General features: G+C 46.6%; 1 protein-coding gene and 1 long non-coding RNA gene across 4 annotated transcripts in view; one reads left to right on the top strand and one right to left on the bottom strand.

Annotated features, from left to right (window-relative positions):
• Positions 1 to 4,021, bottom strand: part of ANGPT4 (angiopoietin 4) — a 46,435-nt gene extending 42,414 nt beyond the window's left edge. For all 3 annotated transcript variants that reach the window (XM_011529239.4, NM_001322809.2, NM_015985.4), the window contains exon 1: positions 3,593 to 4,021. In XM_011529239.4, coding sequence (XP_011527541.1) covers positions 3,593 to 3,901 — 309 coding nt within the window. In that variant the 5' untranslated portion in view covers positions 3,902 to 4,021. The remainder of the gene's footprint in view (positions 1 to 3,592) is intronic.
• Positions 1,126 to 25,903, top strand: LOC105372492 (uncharacterized). The gene is made up of 3 exons (XR_937185.3): positions 1,126 to 1,367; positions 5,013 to 5,108; positions 25,773 to 25,903. It is a non-coding gene; the product is annotated as an uncharacterized LOC105372492 (long non-coding RNA).
• The last annotated feature ends 1,282 nt before the right edge of the window (positions 25,904 to 27,185 follow it).

Here is a 27,185-nt window from a genome sequence, read left to right on the forward strand (position 1 = left end):
TGTCATTCTCCTCCCAGCCTCCGGATTAGGCACTGAGAGGGAAGGGCCAGCACTGGGTCCTAGAGGGAGGGCATGGTGGACAGAGGAGGTCATGTGACTAGCCACTGAGCTGCCCAGCCCAGCTAGAGATGCCTGCACTGCAGCCGGCTCTGTCCCCCAACCTCCTCAATATTCCTGCCTGCAGCTTCTCATCCATATGAGCGGGGTGGAGCAGAGCCCAGAGCTGACGTGCAGCCCCAGGAGCTGGCTCCAGATGGGAGTTACTGGGGCAGGGGCTTTCCAGGAGCGAGGAGGAGGAGAGAGAGGGAGGCAGAAGGAGGGGGAGAGCAGGGAGAAGAAAGGGAAGGGGAGTGCAGGGGAGGAGGAGAGTATGAAAGAGGAGAGAGAGAGAAGAGGTGAGGCCGGGGCTCTCCCCATGCCTGATGAGCACTGGCAGTAGGACACAGCAAGCTGTATGCTAGGAAAGAGTGCGTATCTGGGGACTTGGAAACTCTGCAGTAGAAGGGAGCACCAAGAGCATCCCATCCTCTCTAGATCTTGCTTCCCTTGCCTCCTTGACACCTTCCAGAGTCAGGAAAAAGTACCTGCAGTTTGTAGTGAGAATCCAGATTGGCTTTCACTGCTACATGGCTCTGGCAAGTCACTTTCCCTCTCTGGCCTGTTTCCTCACCTGTACACTGGGGGAACAGGAGGGGAGTTGGGGGCACAGGCTGAGCAGATGATGGCTTCTGGGATTCGCGACAGGAAGGATCTCCCCTGTGTCTGTCTAGATGAACAGAATCTTGCTGAGAGCTTGTTCATCCCTAATGGCAATGGTGATGATGGTGATGATGATGCTGATGGTGCCATTAGATGAGTATTTTAAAACTCTTTTTTTAACTTTTCTGAGATGTTAGAGAAAAAGCCAAAAAAAGGCTTTGAGTTTCAGAAGATCTGAGATATGCCTGGACCAAGAGAAGAACCAGAGGAAGGTCACAGCCACAGCCACAGAAGGTAGCAAGCACTCCCCACTGGGGACCAGGAGTGTCAGAGGGGGCAGAGAGAAATTATTGTTTACATGAACCAAGGGAGACCGAAACCTGCTCATCTGTAGCCATTTGGTAAGGAAGTACCTGCAGCCAGGTCAGCTGAACTCCCATATCAGAGATCTTAGGCCCTACGGCACTCTACGGTGACCTGACTGACCCTAGCTCAGAATTTTCAGGCTAGGTGAATGGATGCCTGGAGAGGACATTCCACCCCAAGCTGAGGCACTGGACCAGGTGACCTTCTGATCCTGCAAGCCATCAGTTCAAGCCATCAGCTCTCAGCCAATGTTTCCCAAGCATCCGACACCCAGGGGATTCAAAGATGGATGAGAGTGAGAGGTGAGACTTGGGGTAGGAGGCCCAGTGGGAGGTGATGACAGCATCCTGGGAAAGATGACGAGGCCTAAGCCAGAAAGATGGACCATGAGAGAAGCCTAGGCCACAGGATGGGCTGGGCCAGCTGCCTGGGGGATAGGTGGGAGCCACAGGAAGCCCCCAGGGCACAGCCTGTGGCTGGGTGGTGGTGTCACCCTAAACAGAGACAGACAGGCAGGAGGAGGGTGTTTGGAGAAGAGCAGGGAGTCGTCTCAGGCAGCTTTGGAGTTGAGACACCCATGGACCCTCAGGGAGGTGTTGGGGGAGATCCAGGTCATGGGTTTTGGGCTCAGGATCCCATCAATGCCAATTTTGTGTCATCACGGAGCAGGATGGAGACCTGGGACCTGAGAGATTGGAAGGACATTTATGCATTCATGCATTCACTCATGCTACAGACATTTATTGAGTACCTACTGTGTGTTCGGCACTATTCTAGGCCCTGGGAACCCAGAAGTGAGCAAAAGAGACATGGCGCCTGCCCTCTGGGAGCTCACACACCAAAAGAAATGTTTTTAAGAACATTAGGTAGGGATAAGTTCTAAGAAAAAAAAACACAACAAAGCCAGCAGAGGGACAAAGGGTGGAAGAGGAAGGTGGTTATTTCGTACGGGGAGGACAAGGAGGGCCTCTGGGGAGATGGCGCTGGAGAGGATAGGAGGCTGGGGTAAGCAAAGTGGGAGTCTGGGAGAGGGAACTCCAGGGAGTAAGGGTTCTTGCTTTTATTCGGATGCATGGTTAGCCCTGGGAGGAGGGAGAGGATGTAACTTAGGTTTTGATGGGGATTCTTTGGTCTGCTGCATGGAGAACAGGAGGTGGGGGCCGAGTGTTAGCAGGGAGCCAGGGGGGCAGCCAGGACAGCTATCCTGCCTGGAGCCAGAGGTGGTTGTCAAGCTTGTCTGCTGTTTAATACCTTCTAAAACTCCAGGAATTAGTTCGCATCCTTCATTCCTCAGTCATCGCCCAGACTGTCTCCTGGGTCCCTCTCCCTTTCCTTGGTAGCTCTCACTTAGGGACTCTGAAGAGTCCCATCTCAGACCCCCCAGGATGTCTCCTGTACCCTCATGCCCCGCCAGGGCCAAGCCTGCTTTGCACACCTCTGTAGTCAGTGCTTCTCCGAGGGTACACAATAGGTGCTCACACTGCTGAAAGACGAAAGCATGACAGGGCATTCTACAGCAGCCCTGGTCTTGGGCCAAAACCACAGTGGCATCCTCAGCTCCTTGCTTCCTCCCACTCCGCATCCAATTCACCAGCAGAGCTGATGGGCTCTACCTCCAGAACCCACCAGAATCTTACTGGCCACACCCCCTCCTAGCCCCGTTCTGCTCCAGGCCTCCGGTACCTTGCACCTGATGGCTGCAGCGGCCACCTCTTTGGGCTTCTTCCTTCCACCCTGCCTCCTACAGTCTATGCTGTTGAAATCGAATCACGGGTGTCTGTCTCTGCTCACAACCTTGCAGTGGCTCCCATGACACTCAGAACAAAAGCTGAAGTCCTTCCAGTGGCCCCCCCCCCAGCTGCATGGCCTGCCCTGCTGTCACCTCTCAGACCTCCCCGCACCCTTGCTCCCTCTCCTCTGCTCCAGCTACACAGGCCTTCGCCCCATGGTTCTCCAGGCACACACCGCTGCGGATGCATTCCCTCCTCACGGTCAAAATACATGCAGCTCCCTTTGCAGAACGTTCCCTCAAATACCTGCCTGGCCCACTCTATCATTTCCCTTGTTCTCTGGGTTCAAATGTCACCTCCTCTGAGAAGTACTCTCTAATGATCTGACCTCAAGCAGCCACCCAGGGCCGCCACTTGCCCTCTTTCTTCTTCATTTTGCTTCACCATCTGACATAGTAGATTATCTCTTACTGCCTCTTTCCCCTACTAGTCCAGAGGGAGACATACTATACTGTCGTATCCCCAGCACCCAGGAAGGCTTGGTCCGTTCAGCCCTTGGTCAGGGCTGAATGGATTTCTGTTGGATGAATGAAGGGACGGCAGTTAAAGAGCCAGGTTGCCAGCTGACATTGCCCAATCTTGCTGTGTGGCCTCAGACCCACCCCTGCCCCTCTTTGTGCAGCTCAGAGACAGCCCTCTGTGCTCAGGGAAGGCCTCTTGGATGGACACTCCACCTGCTGATTGTGACAGACCCCAAAGCCGCCCTCTGCCCCCTGCAAACCTCCCATGCCCCGTACCTTCTTCAGCCACTGCGTGTTGTTCTGCAGTGCCTGCTCCAGCTGTTTCACCTGCTGGGTGGGCAACTTCCCCAGGTGCAGTGGGTTGGCCAGTGATTCTCTCTGGAGGGTGTTGGAGTCCCTGGAGACCTCAGGCCCCGGAGGGCAGGGCTCAGACTTGGGCAGCAAGAAGGTGTAGCTACAGTGGCCGTGCTGGACTACAAGTGTCTCGCAGCCCCTATCCGCCTCCTGCCTTGTCTGTTGAGCCACAGACATGGTGGCAACCACAAGGAGGAGGCTGCCCTGCAGCATGGCTAGCTGGGAGAGCATCTGAAGATGTGTCAATGGCGAGGGATGTCTGCTCAGAGCCCTAGGGGCTGTGCCTGGGATGTCCTGCTGCAGCCAACAGTGGCCAGGCTTGCCTGCAGCTGCAGCTACAAACCTCTGTCTGGCCGAGCTCTGTCCAGGCAGCTATTTATACTTGCTCTGAATACCACGGCTGCTCTGCTTGCTTCCTCTCACCGCCTCCCTCCGGCCCCACCCGACACCCTCTCACCTCTATTCTTCACTCCTTCCCTTCCTCCTTCCTCAGTCTTGGTGGCACGTCGCCCTTACCCTAAGCGTGCACCAACCTTGCTCTGTCTGCCTCACCTCTGAGCCCTCTGATTATCCAGTGAGGCCTGGCTTCCCTGCTGGAGGGGAGGGAAGAAAACAGCACACAGACACGCGCACACACTCATGCACACACTCACGAGCACACACTCACACGCACGCTGACACGCACACACATTCATGTACACACAAACGCCAAGCTCCAATGCTGCCCGCTTTGGAAAACCAAATGCAACTTAACTCTCCCTTCCTGTCTCTGTCTTGGTCTCCCTCTTTCCCTCCACCCCCATCCCCTGCCCCCCAAGTCTAAGATCTCAAGTTTCAGTCCCGCTGCCATCCCCTTCTCTCCCCGCTGCACCTTCCTCCCTCTGGTTCCATGTTAGCGCTTGGAGTACAAGTGACCCCCGGAGAGAGCAGAGGGAGGGGAGGAGGCAGAGGGGTGAGGCTGGGGAGGGCCCAGCGAATCCACTTTGCCTCTGGAGACACAGAAAATCCTTCCAAGGTGGGGCAAGTGAGCAACCCAGCTGGGAGTTGCTTCCTGTCCTCTCTTCTCCCTCAGGGCCAGGGGAAAGTGGTATGCCCCAGGATGGCCCTGGCTTGGTTGCTTGTAACAGTAATGAGAAGTTGTCATGTCCTGGGGCAGATTGTCCTGGGGCTGCTGGAGTGGGGATGTGGAGAGGAGGCAGTGGGGAGAGGAGGTTGGAGTGCCAGGAGGCTAACCCTAGATCTCGCTCCCCGACAGCTGGCCACGAGACCTAGGGTGGGCAGCTGTGCCTCTCTGGGCCTCCACACCCTGATCTGTAAACTGGGTAAACCTTATCTCTTGCAGGAGGAATGCGTGTGAGTCCTCAGCATGGGGATGGAGAAGTTTTCAGCTTCTGGGTTCAAATCCTGGCTCTACCATCTACCAGCTGTATGACTTTGAGTAAGTCACTTAACCTCTCTGTGCCTTCATTTCCTCCTGAATGAGGAAAATAATACCACCTACTTCACATGGCATGAAAATTAGGTGAGTTAGAGCAAGGTTGGCACAGAGCGAGCACTAAATAAATATTTTCCGTTGTCAATGTTATAGTTGTCATTGCACCTCCCCTCCCACGACCCACTGGAGCATAAACTCCTCTAGGGCAGGGATTTGTCCCTGGGGGACATGGTCTCCAGGCAGAAGGTGCCCAGGAGTTGGTGGGGCCTTTCCTGCATGGGCTGCCTTTATGTTCTGCCAGCTGTTTGGGCTTTTCCTCTCTCCCTGCTTGTTTCCTCAGAGTAGGGGCCAGTCTGGCTGTTTAGTATTTTCCTTTTTGTTCTCTCAAATCCCGATAGAGTTTTGAATTGGGGCAGGCTGCTTCTGGGCAGCTGTGAACTGTGGTCTCATCTGGGGACTGAGAACATTATACCAGGTGTGGGGCTTTTGCAGGCAAAGGAAAAGCAGCTGGTTATCAGCCTCCAGCCTCCCCTGAGCCTTCCCACATGCTCTGAGCTCTGCGTGCCCCGCTTGGCCCCAGTTGCCTCAGCTGTAAATGGGGTCATAGCACCCTGACCATGTGAGAGTAATGTGGACTGATAGCTTATCACAGCTCTGGGTGCAGAGAAGGGCAGTGTGAATGGTGGTCGTCATTATGATTGTCTTGACTGAGCTGCTTGATAATCCCAACGAGGCAGTTACACCAGGCCCCAAGCTTAGATGGGCCCCATGCTTGGTTTACACTCTGCCAGCACTGTCTTGAAATTCTTAATACATTTGGAACAAAGTACTCAGCACTTGCATTCTTCATTGAGTTCCACAAATTAGGTAGCAGGCCCTGCCTGGGAAACATGAGGCTTCCCTCATCCCTCACTCTGCTCCTGACCTTACCATCCAATCAGACCTGTTCTTCCAACATGATCCTTTAGATATTTCCCCCTCTGTCACCTCTTCACTACTCAGAATGCTGGAGCCAGCACATCTGGATCGGAATCTTGGCTTTCCTGACCCCCTATTTGTGTGCCTTTTGCCAAGTTGCCTAACCTGTCTCTCAGTTTCCTCTTCTGTCAAAATAGTGATGTTACAGTGGCTAAAAGACCGATTCCTGCAGTGAGGTTAACACAGAGCCTTTCACATAATACATGCTCAACCAGTGACAGCTGTCATCATTACTCCCTGCTATGATATGAATGTTTGTGTGCCCCCAAATTGATCTATTGAAACTTAGTCAACAAGGTGATGGTATTAGAAGGTGGGGCCTTTGGGAGTGAATAGCTCGTGAGGACTCTGCCTTGGGAATGAGATTAACGCTCCTATCAAACATGTCCTAGACAGCTGGCCTTCCCTTTTGCTAGGTGACGTTGCAGTAAGAAAGCACCGTCTATGAAGCAGGGAGCTCTCACCAGACACCAGATCGGCTGGTGCCTTGATCTTGGAATTCCCAGCCTCCAGAACTGTGAGAAATAAGTTTCTGTTGTTTATAAGCCCCCCAGCTTAGTGCATTTTGTTATAGCAACCTGAATGGGCTAAGACACCCCACCATCACTCTCTTAGACCGGGGTGCTTCCTCTCTTGTAGGGAGAACAACAGCCTCAGAAGTGAACTCTGGTTAATTGGCCTTTGCTATTGCAACCAGAGTGACCTTCCTTCCTTCCTTCCTTCCTTTTTTCTTTCTTTCTTTCCTTCTTCTCTTTCTTTCTTTCTTTCTCCTTTTTTTTGACAGAGTCTTGCTCTGTTGTCCAGGCTATAGTGCAGTGGCATGATCTTGGCTCACTGCAACCTCCATCTCCCCGGTTCGCGTGATTCTCCTGCCTCAGCTTCCCCAGTAGCTGGGATTACAGGCATACGCCACCATGCCCAACTAATTTTTGTATTTTTAGTAGAGACGGTGTTTCACTATGTTGCCCAGGCTGGTCTCAAACTCCTGACCTCAGGTGATCCACGCACCTCGGCCTCCCAAAGTTCTAGGATTGCAGGTGTGAGTCACCATGCCCAGCCCAGAGTGATTTTTCTAAGACACAATCCAGCCCTGACTTCTTTGTTTAAAATTCTTCAGTTTTGAACTCCAACTCTTTCTGTGGTTTACAAGCCCCTGCCGGATGTGGCCTCCATTCTCATCACTGTTTCCCTGGCACTTTATACCTTATCATTTGGAATTGGTTTTACTCCCCCGCATGCTTTCCGCCTTCTGAGGCCTCAGTGTCTATGCTCCTAGCAGGAAACTTCTGCTTAAAAACTTCCCCCCACCTGTATTGTCCCAGCTTCGTTCTGCCTGTCTTTTGATCTTATCTCAGGGATCACCTCCTCTGGGAAGGCTTTCTGCATCTGTCCCTCCCACTTCAATGGGAGTAGGCCTTCTGCCTCTGGGAGCTCAAAGGCCCCTGCCTGCCTGTCCCTCACCAAAGCACTCATCCTGCATTAGAAAGGCTTGTTTGCAGGCCTTGGTCACCGTCTAGACTGAACACTCTTCTAGGTTTGCTGTCACACTTTCCATTTCTGTGTTTGTTGCCTGTCCTAAGGTTAGGCTCACAGTGGGTCCTCATGAGTGTTATGTTGAATGAATAGGAGCTGCAGGCCCAAAGCAGAGAGGAAGGCAGTCCCCTTTCCTCTCCAGCAGGGGCAGCAGGAAGTTCTGTGTGAGTTGTTCTGAGTGTCTGGCCTCCAAATCCTAAAAACAAACCAACCCATGTTGATTTTCCCATTGTCTGCTGCTACCATGGAGGTAGAGAACGGAGAATAAACTTATATCCACCTGGATACTTTGGCTTTTGTTCAAATAGCTTGGGTAAAAAGGGAATTTATTGGCCAATTTAACTGAAAATTTTAGGGGTATCGAGCTTCAGGCATGGCTGGATCCAGGTGCTCAAATGATATTAGATTTTTTTTTTTTCCTCCAACTCCAGGCTCTTATTTTCCTTCATTTCCTTATTTTCCTTTGGGTTCATTCTGTAAGAGTTCCCACCATAATCACCACCACTACTGGCAACAGCAGCTCCAATCTATCAACTCAGTAACCTCTTTTAAGAGTGCCTCTTTCCTAATAGTTCTTGGAAAAGTTCCAGCTTGAGCCGTACAGTCATTCCTGAACCAACTATTATAGCCAGAGGAAGGAGCTACTGTGGATGGTCAGGCTGGATCCTGTGTCCAGGCCTGGAGCCTTGGAGCAGGTCAACCTCACAGGATCGGAAGGGACTAAGGGTGGGGTACAGTGACGCTCAAGAAAACCTGGAGTAGAATGATCAGGAGGCGGGTGGAGTTGTTGGGCATAAAGCACCTGCCTGCCTGCACCCTGACTCTCCATCCCGCCACCCACCAAGTGAACCCACCTCCCGCTCAGAGCTGATGGACTCTTGGAGTAACTAGAGATGCCATGGACCCTTACCTTGCATTTCACTCATGAGGAAACTGATACTCAGAGAGGGAGGCCACTTGCCCAGTGTTACATGCTGGAATCTATTTTCCTGGAAGAACAGAACTTCCTGCTCCTAGGAGTGAAGGGTGGGAAAACAGGGTCATTCCGGGAGGACCACTTGCCAATTTGGGGTCCTGAAGTACCTGGATCCAAAAGAAGAAGACTGTCCCCAGTCTGAATCTCCCACTCTGGGGAGAGGGTCACTCCTGGGTTGTTCCCACAATCCAGCCCTTCTGCCAGCCCCTCCCTTGGCAACTCCTTGCATTTCAACACCCTGGATGATCATTGAGGGTTGCACGTGGGGCAGCTGAAACAGACCCCAGGCCTCTGGTCCTGTGCTGCTCATGCCCCTGAGGACACTGCCTGGGCATCTCCCAGAGCTACTGATGGCAACATGGCAAGAGCCTGGTGGGAAGCTGTGGGGCCATCGACAACCCCGGGGGATGGTCTGTGTGTCCTCAGAAGGTCTGGTGGTGAATCTTGTGCAGCAGACATCATGGTGGCCCCGTGAGCCTTTCCACCCAAGACAGAAGTCGGTTGACTGCCCTCCTCCACTTTCTACCAACCCAGACCTAGAGCCAAACAGAATTCCTGGATCACAAGGGGCCTAGGGTGGGTTTTGAGGTCACCCTGTGACCCAGGCCCAGCTGTTAAGAGCCCCACATTCCTGATGCTCAATCTTGACTTCCCTTCAGTAGATGAGACTCAGTTTCCTCATCTATAACATGGAGAAAATAATCCCTCACTGGGAAGGCGGTGGTGGTGGGGTCTTCCAGTTACTGATACTGTGTAACAAAGTATCCCCACATCTAGTGGTTTAAAGCAGTGGCAACATCTACTTTACTCACAAATCTGCAATTGTGGCCAGGTTCCCTGGGAAAAGCTCAACTGTGCTCCATTCCGTGTCAGCTGGAGCAACTTGCAGGCTGGGGTTTGCATCCAAAACTCATCCACTCACATATCTGAAACCTCAGCTGGGGCACTCAGCAAGGACAACTGCATATGGCCTCTTCATGTGGCTAGGGGCTTCCTCATGGCATGGTGGCTGCTTCCCAGAGCAAGCATCTCAGGAGAGAGATTTGGGCAGAAGGTAGGTGATCTTTATGACCTAGCCTCATGGATCATGCAGGGCCAAGTCCTCTGTATCTAGTCAAAGAAGCAACCACAAAGTCCCACTCAAGTTCCAGGGGAGGAAGAACAGACTCTACCTCTTGATGAGGAGGATCAAGGTTTCAGAAGAAGGTATAGGATGGGGGATAGTGTTGTGGCCATTTTTATTTATTTATTTTGTTTATTTTTAAATTTTTATTTATTTATTTATTTTTGAGAAAGAGTCTCCCTCTGTTGCCCAGGCTGGAGGGCAGTGGTGTGATCTCAGCTCACTCTAACCTCTGCCTCCCGGGTTCAAGCAATGCCCGTGCCTCAGCCTCCCAAGTAGTTGGGATTACAGGCACATGCCACCAAGTCTGGCTAATTTTTGTATTTTTAGTAGAGACAGGGTTTCACCGCATTGGCCAGGCTGGTCTCGAACTCCTGACCTCAAGTGATCCACCTGCCTCGGCCTCCCAAAGTGCTGGGGTTACAGGTATGAGCCATAGTGACCGGCCTGTTATGGCCATTTTTAGAAAATACAACTGGCCATGGGAGGGTCGGATGAGAAAATGCCATTTAAGTGTTTAGCATGTAAGTGCTTGATAGTTGGTAGCTGTTATTATTATCTTTGCGATTATTGGAAAGACCCAGCATCTCTTTGCATAAAAATATCCTTCAGAACCTGTGAGAGCTAAAGGTGCAGGAGGAAGCAGGATAATTTCCATCAGGGCTGCTGGAGAAATTGGCCCAGAAACCCACTGGATTTGTCCCAAGTCACCCAGTGTATCAGCAGCACCCAGTCTGAGCAAGACTGGCCTGGGACATAGCTGCTTCTTCTGTTAGTAACGCTGTTACTACTTCCTGGGGTATCTTCCTTGGCCTCAGCTTCCTCTCTGAACCATGAGAGCATCCTGGCTCTGCCTCCTCAGAGGCTGAGGGGATAAGGGCGGAGGACATGCATTCTCTTGGCTGTGCCCAGTCTGGGCCACCAGCCATGCCTGTTCTTTCTCAGGCCTGGGGAGCTCGGTTGCCTCTGAACCCACATCTGGCACTCCCTCCAGGATATGAAGAATAAGCCTGCCAGGTCAGAGGGCAGATCTATTTTGGAACCTGGGACCCCATAAAGACCCAGAGGACCCTGTGACCGAGAAAACCAACAGGCCCCTCTGTGTTTTGTTTTCATTAAACAAGCACAACATGTCCCTCATAGAAAAGCCAGAAAATACATATTGGCAAGAAAGCGAAAATAAATGTTGCCTGTGCTCTCACCAGCCAGAGGCAAAAACCATAGCTAACATTTTGGAGTTTTTTCCCCCCAAATAATTTTCCTCTGCATATAGATGCATATTTTTTTTGGTAGATTTTCTAGCAAAAAAAAAAAAAAATCAACAAACAAAGGAATATTGTCTCAACAATTTTTTAATTTTCTTTTACTTACTTTGGATTTTTCTTCTGGAAAAAAATTTAGAGCCAGGCACGGTGGCTCATGCTTGGAATCCCAGCACTTTGGGAGGCCGAGGTGGGAGGATCGCTTGAGCTCAGGAGTTCGAGACCATTCTGGCCAACATGGCAAAACCCTGTCTCTTAAAAAAAAAATACTGAAATCTCCAGACTTCCAATTGGAATTTATGTTGGCCGGGTGTGGTGGCTCATGTCTGTAATCCCAGCACTTTGGGAGGCCGAGGCAGGTGGATCTATTGAAGCCAGGAGTTCAAGACCAGCCTGGCCAACATGGTGCAACCCTATCTCTACTAAAAATACAAAATTAGCCAGGCTTGGTGGTACACGCCTATAATCCCAGCGACTCAGAAGACTGAGACACGAGAAATGCTTGAGCCCAGGAGGCGGAGGTTGCAGTGAGCCGAGATCATGCCATTGCACTCCAGCCTGGGAGACAGAGGGAAACTATTTCTCAAAAAAAAAAAAAAAAAAATCAGACAAGTGCACAGGATAACAAAATACACCCCCATATAGTCATCACTCCAAGTGGGCCCATGTTAACATTTTGCATATTTGTCTTCGATTGTTAAAACAATGAAATATTACAGGAAATGTCAGTATTCCTTATAACTCCTTCTTGGTCTCATTTTCTCTCCCACCCTGCCCATAGGTTCATATCTAGGTATATAAATAATGTATAATATTTTTGTGTTCTCAAAACTTAAGTATATGCTGTTATACTGAATGCGACGTCCTGCTTATATTATATTTTCCAGATTGATATAAATGACACATATAGATCTTGTGACCAAGGACATTTTCTTTTCACTGCTGTGCAGCATTGCATTATGTAATTTTTAACTCTTTATCCAGTTTTTGGCAGATGGATATTTAAATTAATTCAGTTATCTTGTTATTCCTGACAATACTGCTATTACCATCTTATATGGGAATACTTGTGCTTACAAGCAAGGGCTCCTCTGGGGAACTAATCCAGGCATGCTCCTCCTGGGTCGTGGAATATATGTGCTGCCAGCCTGAGGCAGTTGCCAAATTGTGCTCCAAGTCTCTCTGTCGAGTTAATTCCAGTAGGGTGCCGGGGTCTCCATCGCTCCGCACCCCTGCCATCCCTTGAGATGGTCATGCTTTACCTTTGTTCCAATCTGATGGCTGTGAAATCGTACATGTAATTACATAGCCTGCTTTCCCTACTTAATAGTATATTACGGAACTATTTTCCTGTGCAGAATATTGTTCTATATGTGGGTGTTTCAAGGTGGCATAAGCTGAAAGCCTCCATTGGGGTGTTGCTGGGATTTTCTTAACCAATTCCCTATTGTTGGACAACAGGGTTTGTTTTTGTGGTAGGATTGCAAAACTGACCACAGATGCTACCCACCCCTATAAGCATGCTCCTTTGCAGTGTGACTCTGCAGTTCTCCCTATTAAGAGGCAAAGTTCACTTCTCCACTCCCTTAATGCTGACTTGGGCCATGTGACTTGCTTTGGCCAATGGGACATTTTCAAGCAGAGGCTTGAAAAGGGCTTGTGCTCTGGGGCTTGCTCTCTTGCTGCACCTGGGGCCCTGAGACCACCATGTGAATGAGTCCTGGCTAGCCTGAGGGATGATGAGACACACTTGGCCAAGTCATCCTGTCATCCCAGCTGATACTAAACCATCCACCAGATTTGTGAGTGAGGCCATCCTAGACCATCTATCTAGCCCAGCCAAACTGGTGCGGACCAGAAGCAAAGTCCAGTTGGCCTGCAGAGATGTGAAAAATAAATGTTTTAAGCCACTAAATTTTAGAGGTGGTCTGTTAGACAGCAAGCCTGATACAGTTCCACCCAGCATTTTCTTTGCTCAACCAGTTACTGGCTGGGAACCTTGGGCAAGTTGCTGAGCCTTAGTTTTCTCCTCAGTACAATGGGGGATTACATACGCACTCCTCAAAGTCGTTGTGAAGATTGGATGAGATGGCACCTGTCAGTATCACATGGCGGGGACCCCATAACCAGGGGTTCCTCTTTCACATCACGGTGGTCTTAGATGTGACCTGTGACCTTTCTTATTGCTTCTTGGTTCTCCCTGCTGCCTCTTTCTCAAAAATGTACTCATCCTTCCAAGTTTTCTGGAGAGTATCAACATGTAAGTGTAAATCACAATCCCTAGTGCTCTCCAAGACTTGCAGGTATCTCCTCCTTCCAGGGCCTTCCCTCTTGAAATTAGGCATAGTGGCTGTGTGCAGTGGCTCATGCCTGTAATACAAGCACTTTGGGAGGCCGAAGCAGGCCGATCCCATGAGGCCAGGAGTTGGAGATCAGCCTGGCCAACAGGGCGAAACTTTGTCTCTACTAAAAATACAAAAATTCACCGAGCGTGGTGGTGCATGCCTGTAATCCCAGCTACTCAGGAGGCGGAGGCATGAGAATCGCTTGAGTCTGGGAGGCGGAGGTTTCAGTGAGCCAAGATGGCACCACTGCACTCCACACTCCAGCAAGACCCGGTCTCAAAAAAAAAAAAAAAGTAAGGAAAAGAAAAAGAAAAGAAAAGGAGTCTCCATCCAGACCCCAAGAGAGGGTTTCGTGGATCTTGCACAGGAAAGAATTCAAGGTGAGTTGCAGAGTGCACTGAGAAGAGATAGTTTATTGAAAGCTACTCAGTTACAGAGAAGGATGTCCTCAGAAAGCAAGAGGAAGAACGCACTGTCTTTGTTTTAAACTCTTCTAATGTAGGAGTCTTATCTAAGTAAAAGCTAAGTTATGTCTTTGTGCAGACAGACCGACAGTGTGACAGAATCCATTACCGTTGACTTAAAGAAAGTTATCCTTGGCATTTTAGTAAGTACATCAGATCACGACAGTAATTGTTTTGAAAGCATAAATTGTTATGTGATATTGGAACATCTGGGCATTTTGCTGTCGTAAGAGTTTACTCTTGCAGGCATTATTGAGCAGCTTCCTTAGCCATAAACATCTTATGACTGTGGGCTGTGATTAGCAAGGAATGTGTCTTGCTAGTTTTAAGATAGAGTTGATTTTAAAATGGTGTCACCCTAGCTCTCCTATGCTCCTGTTTCCCAAACATAATCCCCCCTCTACTTAAGAGAGAACCCTAAATCTTAAGGGGAGATGAAAGGTGAAGGTCATTTTTCTGTAACTTATTCCTGCTGACAGTGGACGTTGTTGACCTTTGGGAGAGAGTTCTCTCATAAGAGTTTGCAGAGAGCCTTGTAGGGAGCCGGGGAAACTCTTCACTTGAATGACATCCCGATGATTTGGTTTAGTAAGTGTAGGGGCAGATAAGCTGCCAGACTATTTTATCTCCGTAATCCCATGCAATAAGTGCAACAGAAGTAAAAAGCACAATAACCAATAGCAATAAGTGTGACAACACGAAGCATGCTAAAAAGGAATGCCTTCCAAGTGCTGGGGAGCTGGCCAAACTGTGCTGTTATGACAGGAAGTCAATTGCTGAGGTATGAGTCTCTAGGGAGTTCATGGCCTGAGATATATTATGAGAGTGACCAGGAATATAGACACAGTGTTCAGTCTTGATCAATGCACAGATTTTCCCAGGGCTGCTGTTAATATGTTTAAAGCCATATGGCTTTGTAAGGACATTTGTCTTATTCGGGACGTTTCTTCTGTCAGACGGGTGATCACCAGATGAGTGTTGTTGAAAGCCACAGCAGTATGTTTTGCTAGGGCTCCCACCTGCGATTCAACGTCTATAGATGTTGCTTAAAGACAGAATATGGGCACAGGATATAACCACCAAAAAGTTTGTTTCTGTTGCCTATCACAGACCTTGACTACTTCCCAGTTGGTGGAGAGGGAATCCAGATGTGTAAGGATACATCCTAGAAGGTAGGGATGACCCCAAGTGCATCATCCAGTCAAATTGTAAGGTGAGTATGGCCAACTATGAGACCCACATGCCCATAACCATTCCCAAGGGGAAGGATAGTCACCTAACCATAGAGATTCATTTTGCCATCCCATCCACATTTGGTCAATTGAAAGGAGAGTCTGATTGCATTGTTGGGGTGGCAGCCATCCGATACTATAGATGTTGGTTTGGGGGTGGTTACTGTTGATGAAAAGAGTCGAACTCTGTAAAATATTTGAAGAGACTTATTCTGAGCCAAATATGAGTGACCATGGCCTGTGACACAGCCGTCAGGAGGTCCTGAGAACATGTGCCCAAGGTGGTTGGGGCACAGCTTGATTTTATACATTTTAGGGAGGCATGAGACATCAATCAAATACATTTAAGAAGTACATTGATTTAGTTCAGAAAGGCGGGACAACTCAAAGCGGTGGGGGGAAGGAGAGGCTTCCAGGCTATAGGTGAACTTAAACATTTTCTGGTTGACAATTGGTTGAGTTTGTCTAAAGACCTACGATCAATAGAAAGGAAATGTTTAGGTTAAGATAAAAGATTGTGGAGACCAAGGTTCTTTTGAAGTCTCATAGTAGCTGCCCTCAGGGACAATAGATGACAAATATTTCCTATTTAGACCTTTAAAAAGGTGCTAGACTCTTACTTAACCTCTTCAGGATTGGGAGGGCCTGGAAGAAAAAGATGTAGCTATGTTAATAGAGATTCTTTACAGATGCACATTTGTCCCCACAAAGGACAGCTTTGCAAGACCATTTCAAAATATAGCAAAGAAACATGTTTTCGGGTAAAATATTTTAATTTTCTTCCTTGTCTCATAACATTATGCCAGGGTCAGGTCGGAAAGTAAGTCACAATATGTAGGGTTAAATAAAACCCATCTGAGGAGAATTTATGGTTTGTAGGGCATGACTCCCAGACCCCTTAGATAGGAATTTGGACAAGAAAAAAAAAAATCAGAGCCTAGTCCTCATAACCATTATGCCTTCCAAGGCATAAGGGTACTTTGCCTGATAACTGAATTTGGATACCTGTCAACCAACTGAGTCCATCATGTATGGTATAGCCTAAGGTAGGGATGCTATTAAGTTATTTGGGATTAAATGAAGAAGGAATTTCTTGGTTTCGGTGGAGGAAGGGAAGAAAGAGTGGTGTGTGTCCTTTTGGAAAAAGGAGAGTACATATTTTCTGTACTCAAATTAGCTGATTGGATATGCCAAGGTAAGCCCGAGGTTGACAAAGTTTGTACCCATTCTGCAAACAGATATCCTCCAACTCTATAATAGAGCAAGCTCAACATTAAAACCAGTGGTCTTATTTTCAGAGCATCACTTATCCACTGGATAGCTTTTTCTGGAAGAGAAGCCGTAGATCCACTATTGGCTCACAGGAGTATTCTGGAATGGTGATCCCTGCACCAGATGCCTGTGGGACTTCATGAGAGACAGGTTTAACTTGGGATAAATGTACCCAAATATGTAATCCCTTAAGTTTAACTGTAGTAGGAGTGCCTGGAAGTACATGGTAGGGCTCTTTCTATTTTGGGGAAAGCTGATCTGCAGGGGATCCCTCCTTCCAAGGTTTCAATAGCATGAAATCTCCTGGTCAAACAGGAGAGAATATTTATGAAGATGGTCCTGACACATGTATACTGAACAAACATGCATGTAACATATGACTCTGTTCACCTTAAGGTGGAGACTTAATCCTTGCCAGGCATGGTCTTAGATCCTGTTTATAATTTGAAATCTTCTTGCTATAAAGTTTCTATTCTATCAGTCTTATGATCTCTGTTTTAATGTTAATGCTGGTTGGTTGTGCCCGAATTCCAAGAGGGAGAATTGTACAGCAAGGTGTGTTTGACCCCCCAGTCCCTCTTCCCATCATGGCCAGAACCAGTTGTTCAGGATTTTTAAAAAATTATTATTTCCTTTTGCCAAGAGAGAGGTCCATTCTGTTGGGTGGCTTAGGATATTTGTTTATTTATTAGTTTAGTTTATGGTATCCCATTTTGTCGAGGTGCCAGAGGCAGTATTGAAGGCTAAGCTTTTATTGTGTCCCATATCAATGCTGGGGTGGTGTCCTACTTGCCCTGGTCCATTACCTCCCTTGGTGGAACACTTATGGTCAAGGAACTTAGAGTCAAAAGACTTATAGCCAATCAAATGTTCTAGGCCAGATGGGAATGGAGGTGAGCAGGCACTCATTAACCTTAAAGCCTCTTTAAGCAACATAAGAGCCAAAAATCAAAAGCCAGAAGGCAAGGTATAAAATTGGCTTATTTAGAAATTCTATGCAAGAGCTACTATAATCTTGGTTTGTGGCAATTAGCTATACAAACTCAAGAATTATGTTTAGCTATTTAGGGATCTGTGTGCCTGTCCTTGATTTGGAGTGTCAGAATTAATTTTATTCCTCAAAACTGGCCCTTACAATCTCATGTGATAGTCCCTGGGCATGGAGGAATTGAATAGTTTCAAATTTTGGAGGTAAAACAAAACATAAGGCATTAACAACATTTTAAACAAAAGGTCATAAGCCCTGCCTAGTTTTGAGAGTGACAGGAAAGGAAGTTCACAGGTAGCTAAACATTTAAATTATTTAGTATCAAGACATAGAATAAATTATATTATTTCAGATAAAGGCAAAATTATTAAATGAGTCTTAATGTTTTTGAATACAGGACTGCCTCTGTGTCTTATGGAAGCAGTTTATTTTGATTGTCACTTTTGTCTAGGTCTAAAGATGAGACTTTGGTCAACTTGAGTTTGGTGTCAGATACTGGCAGAAGTCAGTGCCTTCTTCTTTTTTGGGACAGAGTCTCACTCTGTCACCCAGGCTGGAGTGCAGTGGCATGATCCTGGCTCACTGCAACCTCCACTTACCAGCTTTAAGCAATTCTCATGTCTCAGCCACGCAAGCAGCTGGGATTACAGATGTGCACGTACCACCACACCTGGCTGATTTTTGTATTTTTAGTAGAAATAGGGTTTCACCACGTTGGCCAGGCTGGTCTCAAACTCCTGGCCTCAAGTGATCTGTCTGCCTCAGCCTCCCAAAGTGATAGGATTATAGGCATGAGACACTGTGCCTGGCAGTCAGTGCCTTCCTTAGATGAGATATTGGACCCAGAAGTCAAAGCCCTGTAACTTAACAGCACAAGGATTAGTTAATAGCACCTGATAAGGATACTTTTGAGGGGGATAGAGTGAGCCCTTTAATTGATGTTCTTCCAATATATGTAATTATCAGGCTGGAGGTGGTGATCCTGGAGTTCATGGTCTGACTGGAAGCTGTGAAGACTTACAATCTTCAGTGCTTAATTTTTATGGCTTTAGTAAGCCCCAGCAATATGACTAAGTCAGAGACTTAATTTAGGATTTTGATTTTGAAGATGTTTGTTAAAGATGTTAAAAGGCTCAAAACATTTGATCAAAACAGAAGCACAGATCATGGTAAAATAGCATTTACTCATTTACCCAAAGTGATCATCGAAATACTTTAAAGGCAATACAGAAGGTTACATGGATGTAAAAACCTTAACCCTTTTAAAATCTCAGTTTCTTTAGCAATGAAAAACCTAATAAAGACAGCATAGAAATTATCTTGATAATACATAAAATCTCAGTTTTTTAAGCCATCTACTAAAAAAGCAAAAAAGCCCTACTGCATTGTGACTACTTTTACTTATTGGAAGCTCATTTAGATAACCAGGAAGTCAAACTTGATGAAAAAAGTGCTTGAATTTAATCAGACACAGGAAGACTGTTTTCAAGGTTATGAATATAGCAGGGGAATACACGACTCCTAGGAACAGCATGAGAAGTTTTCTGATTGCATCAAAAATTTAGACATATCAAGAAAAGCCAGTGTACAGAATGCAGTTATACTAGAGGAAAACATTGCTTTTCTAGACCTCCAAGATGCAATATGTTAGCATTTGGCCATAATAACAGTTAGAACCAGAGCAGGGAGAAAGTTATAGAAGCTGACAGAAAAATTAAAGGAGAGAGTTGTTATCTCAAGCATTCTCAAAGGGAGAAACAGCTGAAAGCTGTTTTTTTCAACAGCACAGCAACAGTTGAACTTTTGAGATATGATTCTGAGAAGTTTTAAAAAGAAAAAGGTTATAAAATTAAAGGTAAGATTTCCTATAATTTATTTAAAGAGCATATCAATATCTTAAGAAAACCTTGTTTTGATGTAAGGGACCAATTTTTAGACAAATTATTATAAATAATTTTTTTATAACTAATGATATGCAAAATCCCTTTTACAAATTCCCCTTTATGACTTACATAGACCATCTACGACATGCTTGGACTCTCTGACTTGTCCTGAACTTCCCTCTTTGCTAAACAATCAGTCATTTTACTTTAGGACAAAAATTTACCATATAAGACTCTTTTTCATATAAAATTATTCTCTTTTCTTTATAACCTTTCTTACCATAAATACATCTTCATATTTATAACTTTCTTTACATCTCTCTCTCTCCCCTACCTACTGGTCCCTTTCTACCTTGTTTCATAAGTAAACATTTTCAAGTTCGTAATTTGAATTGACCTTCAATTCAGATAACTTCTGAATTAGACAAAATTATTTTTTTCTCAGTAATACTAGATCTTGGCAGGCTTTTGGCCTCTAACATCACCCAGAGAGAAGCCAAATTAAACAACCTAAGAAGCAAAAATCATCAAGACCAGAAGGAAAATGTTAAGTGTAAACTTCAAAGCATGTGAGCGTAGGGCGACATGTGTCACTACTGAGGCACAGACAGCAAATATGTAGTCATCAAAAGGGACAAGGGGATCAAGAAGCAGTAGGTGCTGGAAAATATCCCTCTGAGCCTCAAACAGTTTATGCATCAGGGTGACACTGCAACCCTGGGCCCCTAATGGCAGAAAAACGCCACACAACAGGGTGGCAGCTGACCAGAAGGATCCCACAACTCCAGGCTCCCTAGCAGACACAGCCCAAAGGATCCAACAACTCTGAGTGGGGGGCTCCAACCCCTGGGCCCTGAGAATATAAAGGAACATGAGTGTCCCTGTGTCTCCTGGGGCTCAGAAGGCTAGGCTGAAAAGTGACAACAAAGGGAAGGGCACTCACCTGCCTGTGAATCCAAAACTGGAAAAAGCAAGAAATCCTGAGCTGTTTGTCAGATGTTAGCATTTTATAGATAAAGCCATTCTATAATTTTAGAAACATGCTTTCCCATATCATAAACTTTTCTTAATTGGAAATAACCCAGACATCTGATGAGTAATCTAAGGAAAGCTGTGGACCAAAATTTTGGGTAAAGTGGTCTTTATGGAAGTTAAAAAAAAAAAGATTTAAAAAAAGATTTAAAGATTTTTTTTTTAAAGCCTGGCTGGGCATGATGGCTCCTGCCTGTAATCCCAGCACTTTGGGAGGCCGAGGCAGGTGGATCTCTTGAGACCAGGAATTTGAGAGCAGTATGGGGAACATAGTGAGACTCTGTCTCTATAAAAAATTAAAAAAATTAGCTGGGTGTGGTGGTGTGCACCTGTGGTCCCGAATACTTGGGAGGCTGAGGTAGGAGGATCACTTGAGCCCAGGAGGTTGAGGCTGCAGTGAGCTGTGATTGTGCCACCGCATTCCAGCTTGGGTGACAAAGCAAAACCCTGTCTAAAAAAAAAGAGAAATAAAGAATAAATAAAAGAATACATGAAATTAAATTTTAAAAAAGCCTTTTCCACTTTTTTTCCTTCAGTGTCAAATGAACTTCTAATGTTTCCATTTCATCTAGAACTGACTGAACTGCGTTAAGAAAAATAAAATCTCCAAGTAGACTTGAATTAGTAATACATAAACAGTGAGTCTTATCTCAACACCAGCAGCTTAATAACAGCAGATTTAAAGCAGGCAGAAAAGAAAAGGGAGAAATAGATAAGAGAGCTTTAGAAGCAATAATCAGAGGCAAGCATGGAAAGTGAAAGTAGCAAACTTCTGGGCTGGCCATACAGAGCTGTCATAAGCCTGCAGTAAAGCAAAGGTAACAAGCTGGGAAACGATGAGAATTACAGCATTCCCATACCTGGCAAAGGGGACAATATGGATTAGTTCATAGCAAACATCTTGCAAAGCTACTTCCATTTTTCCAAATATACCCCAGGGGCTCTAACCCCATGGGTCTTTGGGCCTCTGATCTGAGTATTATACCCCAGGGCCTCCAACCCTGTGAGTTGGGCCTCTGACTCCATGGGCCAGGCCTCTAGCCTGAGTTTCTAGGCAAGTGTCCTTGCCTAAGCCTGACATAGTACACCAAGATGGACCTCACTTACCAGAAGCGGCCAATTGGTGCTGCAGACTGAATTTCTTTTGCATAGGGTCTCGTCTTATGCTTCCTTCATGGTCGCTAGGAAGATGTTGCCAGAAAAGGGGCCATGATTCAAACCTTAAAAAAGGGTTCTTAGGCCTCACACAAGATGGAAGTCAAGGCGAGTCTCAAAGTGCATTGAGAACAGATAGTTTATTGAAAGCTACTCAGTTACAGAGAAGGGTGTTCTCAGAAAGCAAGAGGAGGAACACATTGTCTTTGTTTTAAACTCTTCTTATATATGAGTCTTATTCATGTAAAAGCTAAGCTATTTCTATGTGAGTGGACTGACAGTGTGACAAAATCCATGACTCTGTTGATTTAAAGAAAGTTATCCTTGGCATTTTAATGTGTAAGTACACCAAAGCATGACTATAATTATTTTAAAAGCACACATTGTTATGTGACATGGAAACATCTGGACATTTTGCTGTCTAGGAGTTTGTCCTTGCAGGTATTATTAAGTGGCTTCCTTAGCTGTGAATATCTTATGATCATGGGTTGTGATTGGGAAGGAATGTGCCTTGCTAACTTTAAGATAGAGTTGATTTTAAAATGGCATCACCCTGGCTCTCCTATGCTTCTGTTTCCCTAACAAAGGAATGCCCCTTCCCTCCACACCCCAAGCCCCAACCAGCGGGACCTGGAGGTAGGGAAGACAGCATGGGAAGCCCAGCCTGGATTGGAAGCAGCAAACATTTGACCATCCCAGCCACAGGGCATGCCTACCCTCTTCTCTCCCTGGACCCTGGCCTCGCCTACCGTGGCCATCCTGCTCCCACACTAATCAGAAACTTTCCCCTGGAAACCCGTCCTGGGCCCAGCCTTTGTTTCAGGTCCTCCTCAAGCCAAAGACTTCCTGATGCAAGCGCTTCCTCCCTCCAGCCAGGGTGAATTCTGCCCTGTCCTTAGTTGGCTTTTCACATTCACGTTTCCTTGTGATGCTGCTACTCCGGCTATCAGAGTCGGGGGCAGCAGTGCTGAGGCCTCCCACCCAACCCCAAGGTGGCAGCAACATCCTTCAAGTTCCCTCCTTCCAGGAAACCATCTCTGGCCCCTCACTTCACAGCGTCCTCCCTCCTGTTCTGCACCTGGCATTTAACACATACTGCCCCAATCACTGAGGATGTTGTCACTGTTGGTAATACAAGGAATAACAGCACTGACAACAATCACAGGGTCAACTATGGGAGAGCAAGAGGTTGAGAAAAACAGACTCTGCAGTGATTGGATCTGGCTCATCTGAGCCTGAGTTTTCTCACCTGTGAAATGGGGTCAGTGTAGCATCTACCAGCCTTGTGTAGCTGCTGGCAGATAAAATTAGATCAATATATATCACCATCAGCACTCAGAGGGCTCAGTCCCTGGGGACAATTGTGGTTATTATTATTATTATTGTTGCTGCTACTACAGGGAACACTTGCCAAGGCCTTCCTGTGGGCCACTAACTGTGCCCCCACTCTTCCAGATTCACACCCAAAGGAACAGGGTGCTATGATACCCATTTTGTGGTTGAGAAAAACTGAGTTCCATCAAAGTGAGGAGATGGGTTCAAGGTACCACAGTTGGGACCTGAAAAGCCAGCAATGCACTAAAGATGTGGGTGACACAAGGCTTGGACCCTAACAGAGCAGACTCTGAGCCCTGAGGGTGGAGATCCCAGCCTAGTTCACACTGCTGCACAACCTGGCTGCAGGAGGACAGCCAGTCTTGGGGCTCTGGCCTCGGACAACCTGGGCTAATCCTTCCACCTTCTAGCTGAGTGAACCCGGGAACATCACTTAACCTTCTTGAGCTCAGTTTTTGCCTTTGGAAGGTGAAATAATGGTCTCTACCATGCAGGGGGTGGGGGAGGATTAGATGGGTAAGTGGATGGAAAGCTTGAGCCCAGAGCCTATGCACAGTGGGCTGCTCAGGAAGGTAGAATCATGCAAGCCCAGGCCTAGAAATTCTAAAGGGCAGGCACAGGTTCCCCACAAACATGACCTTGGCAGAATCCGTTTCTGAGAGTTGGCAGCAAGAAGAAGTTGTATGGATGACAGAAATTCTCAAATTTGCCTATTTTCTTAAAGTGGACATTTAAAAAATTCCACATTGGGGCGGAGGAATGTTCTTAGCCCAGGGATTGCTATACATAGGTTCATGCATTTACTATGCGTTGGTTCATCTAAGCCCAACCTCAGGGTCTTTGTATTTGCTGCTCCCTCTGCCTGGATCACTGTTTCCCCAGTGGGTCTCTTCCTAACATTCTAGTCTAGGCTTAACTATTTGCCCTTCAAGAGATCTTCCCTGGGCACCCTATAAAAATGCATCCTTCACATAAACTCTTTCTCCTTTTCCCTACTTTGTTTATTCATGCTGCTTTTACTATCTGGCATCATATTCTAAATTTATTTGTTTATCTGTTTGTTGACTGCCTTCTTGTCTTAGCCTATTCAGGTTGGTATAACAAATTGTCATGAACTGGGTAGTATATAAACAACAGAAATTTGGGCTGGGCACAGTGGCTCAAGCCTGTAATCCCAGCACTTTGAGAGGACAAGGCTTGAGGTCACGAGTTTGAGACCAGCCTGGCCAACATGGTGAAACTCTATCTCCACTAGAATACAAAAATTAGCCAGGTGTAGTGGTGCACACCTGGGGTCCCAGCTACTTGGGAGGGTGAGGCAGTTGAATGGCTTGAACCCGGGAGGTGGAGGTTGCAGTGAGCCAAGATCGAGCCACTGCACTCCAGCCTGGGCAACTGAGCGAGACTCCATCTCAAAAAAAAAAATTTAAAAATAAATTTATTTTCACAGTTCTGGAAGCTGGAAAGTCTAAATCAGGTCATGGGTAGATTAGATGCCTACTGAGGGCCTGCTTTCTGGCTCTGGGAGACTTTTAGCTGTGTCTGCATATGGTGGAATGGGTAAGGGGCTGCTCTGGGGCCTCTTTCATAAGGGCACTAATTCCATTCATGAGGGCTCCACTCCCATGACGTGGTTCCCTCCCAAAGTCCCCACATCCTAACACTATGACATGGGAATTAAGTTTCAACATATAAATGTTGGGAAGACGCAAACATTCAGAACATAGCACTTTCCCATTAGATTGTGAGGATAAGGACTATATCTAAGCCATTCACTTCTATATCCCTGTTGCCCACTATATACCTAGCATACAGTAGGTGCTTAATAAATGTTTGAAAAATGGGTGAATGAAATATTGTACTTTCTAATTCAAGCATTTTCTGAGCACCTACTGTGCACCAGGGCCTGTGCTATGGGCTGTATATACAGAAATACATCAGTGAGAGTCCTCAGCCCTAAGGCCATTGGTCTGAAGAAAAAAGAGAAATTGCAACAAGTGCCATAGCAAACACAGCTGGGAAATTCACTGATGTAGTTTGGAGGTGTGTCTCTGCTCAAATCATATATTGAAATGTAATCTGCAGTGTTGGAGGTAGGGCCTGGTGGGAGGTGATTGGATAATGGAGGAGGATTTCTTTTTTTATATCTATCAGGAATGCAAAATTAATTTAATAATCGAAAATTACTATAATTCACAGACTAAGACAAGAAAAGCCATACGATTCTCTCACCAGTTGCAGAAAAAGCATATGATAGAATTAAACATCTTTTTATGATTTTTTAAAATTATACTTTAAATTCTGGGATACATGTGCAGAATGTGTAGGTTTGTTACATAGGTATACATGTGCCATGTTGGTTTGCTGCACCCATCAACTTGTCATTTACATTAGGTATTTCTCCTAATGCTATCCCTCCCCCAGCCCCCCACCCCCTGACAGGCCCCAGTGTGTAATGTTCCCCTCCCTGTGTCCATGTGTTCTCATTGTTCAACTCCCACTTATGAGTGAGAACATGTGGTGTTTGGTTTTCTGTCCTTGTGATAGTTTGCTGAGAATGGTGGTTTCCAGCTTCATCCATGTCCCTGCAAAGGACTTGAACTCATCCCTTTTTATGGCTGCATAGTATTCCATGGTGTATATGTGCCACATTTTCTTTATCCAGTCTATTATTGATGGACATTTGGGTTGGTTCCAAGTCTTTGCTATTGTGAATAGTGCCACACTAAGCATATGTGTGCATGTGTCTTTATAGTAGCATGATTTATAATCCTTTGGGTATATACTCAGTAATGGGATTGCTGGGTCAAATGGTATTTCTAGTTCTAGATCCTTGAGGATTTGCCACGGTGTCTTCCACAATGGTTGAACTAATTTACACCCCCACCAACAGTGTAAAAGCGTTCCTATTTCTCATGGAGGAGGATTTCTAATGAATGGTTTCACACCATCTCCTTGGTACTGTCCCCATGATAGGGAGGGAGTTCTTGTAAAAGCTGGTCATTTAAAAGTGTGAGGCCCCCACCGCCTCTTTCTCTTGCTCCTGCTTCACCAGGTGATGTGCCTGTTCCCCCTCTGCCTTCCACCAGGATTGGAAACTTCCTGAGACCTCCCCAGAAGCTGATGCCACCATGTTTGCTGTGCAGCCTACAGAACCGTGAGCCAATTAAACCTCTTTTCTTTATAAATGACCCAGTCTCAGGTATTTCTTTCTGGCAATGCAAGAACAGCCTAACACATTCACCTCCAGCTACTGCAAGCATTCATGGGGATGAGTGAAAGGAAGGAGAGAGGTGGCTGCTGTGTCGAGGGTTTGCTCTACGACAGGATGGTGCACTTGCCACCTCTGGCTCGATCCACACACTAGCCCATTTTACAGATTAGGCATTGGGAACTCAGAGAGGTGAAGTGACTTGACCAAAAGCAAACTCATGGCAGAATGAAGACTGGGACCAGGGAGGCCTAATTCCAAACATTGTGTGTTACCTCCTCTACCACAAGGCCTCTCTTGCCCAAGAGAAAGAATAAAGTCCAGCTAAAGTGAGCTCAAGCAAAGAAGATATAGATATGTAATTATTATCATTGTTATTACTATTTTTTTCTCATGTAACAGATACATCAAAAAGTAGAAGCCTTCAGGCATGGCTGGATCTAGGGTCTCAAACACTATCACTAGAACTGCTCCATTCTTAGAGAGGCTCTCAAGTCAAAGTGACAAGACGGCTGCCTGCCATGCCAGCCTCCCCTCCCCTACTCCCAAAAGACCAAGTCCAGAGGGAAAAAGAATGCCTCATAGCAGGCCGTTGAGGTTGGCTAATCTGGCACCCATTCCCATCAGCCTCTTCCTGCTACAAAGGCTGTGCAGCCAAACGTCCACCTTTCTGACCCTCCTGCAGCTGGGTGGCCACAGGACACAGTTCTGGTCAATGAGACATAAGCTGAAGTTTGTGGTGAGGGAGAGCTTTTGCTCCTCTGATAACAGGAGCAGTTGTGGCCAGAGCTGCCCCTTCCCATGTTGCCTTGATCACAGACATGATATTTGAAGCACAGACCATCTTGCAACCAGGAGGAAAGGCTGAGAAAAAAAAAGTCCTCACTATTTTTTAGCCATGACATTGTTAAGTTGCTGGACTCCTAACTTCAGACTTCTTCCTAAGAGAAAAATAAACTTCCAATGTTCAAGCCACTGCATTAAATTCCTTGTTACTTGTAGCTGAAAGCATTCCTGACTAATACAACTCTCTGTCTCAGGTCCCTATAAAAACCCTGGGAAGGCATCATATTGGTTCTAATGGGGTCATGCTGTCATTCTGCAATGGACTGTGGTGGCCAGCAGAGATGGGATGTGCCAATTGACCACTCCAGTGGCCACCCTTACCACATAGGCTTCGAGTGGGTAGGGTTGTTCTCCAGCACAAAAGTTAGTAGAGTAGGGAAGTGGTGGCTACACTCCCTATACCTCTGAATCAGTGGAGGCAATAAATTCCCTGTTCTTGGCTTAA

The sequence above is a fragment of the Homo sapiens genome, chromosome 20 (genome assembly GCF_000001405.40).
Source record: "Homo sapiens chromosome 20, GRCh38.p14 Primary Assembly".
In the NCBI taxonomy this organism is placed as follows: domain Eukaryota; kingdom Metazoa; phylum Chordata; class Mammalia; order Primates; family Hominidae; genus Homo; species Homo sapiens.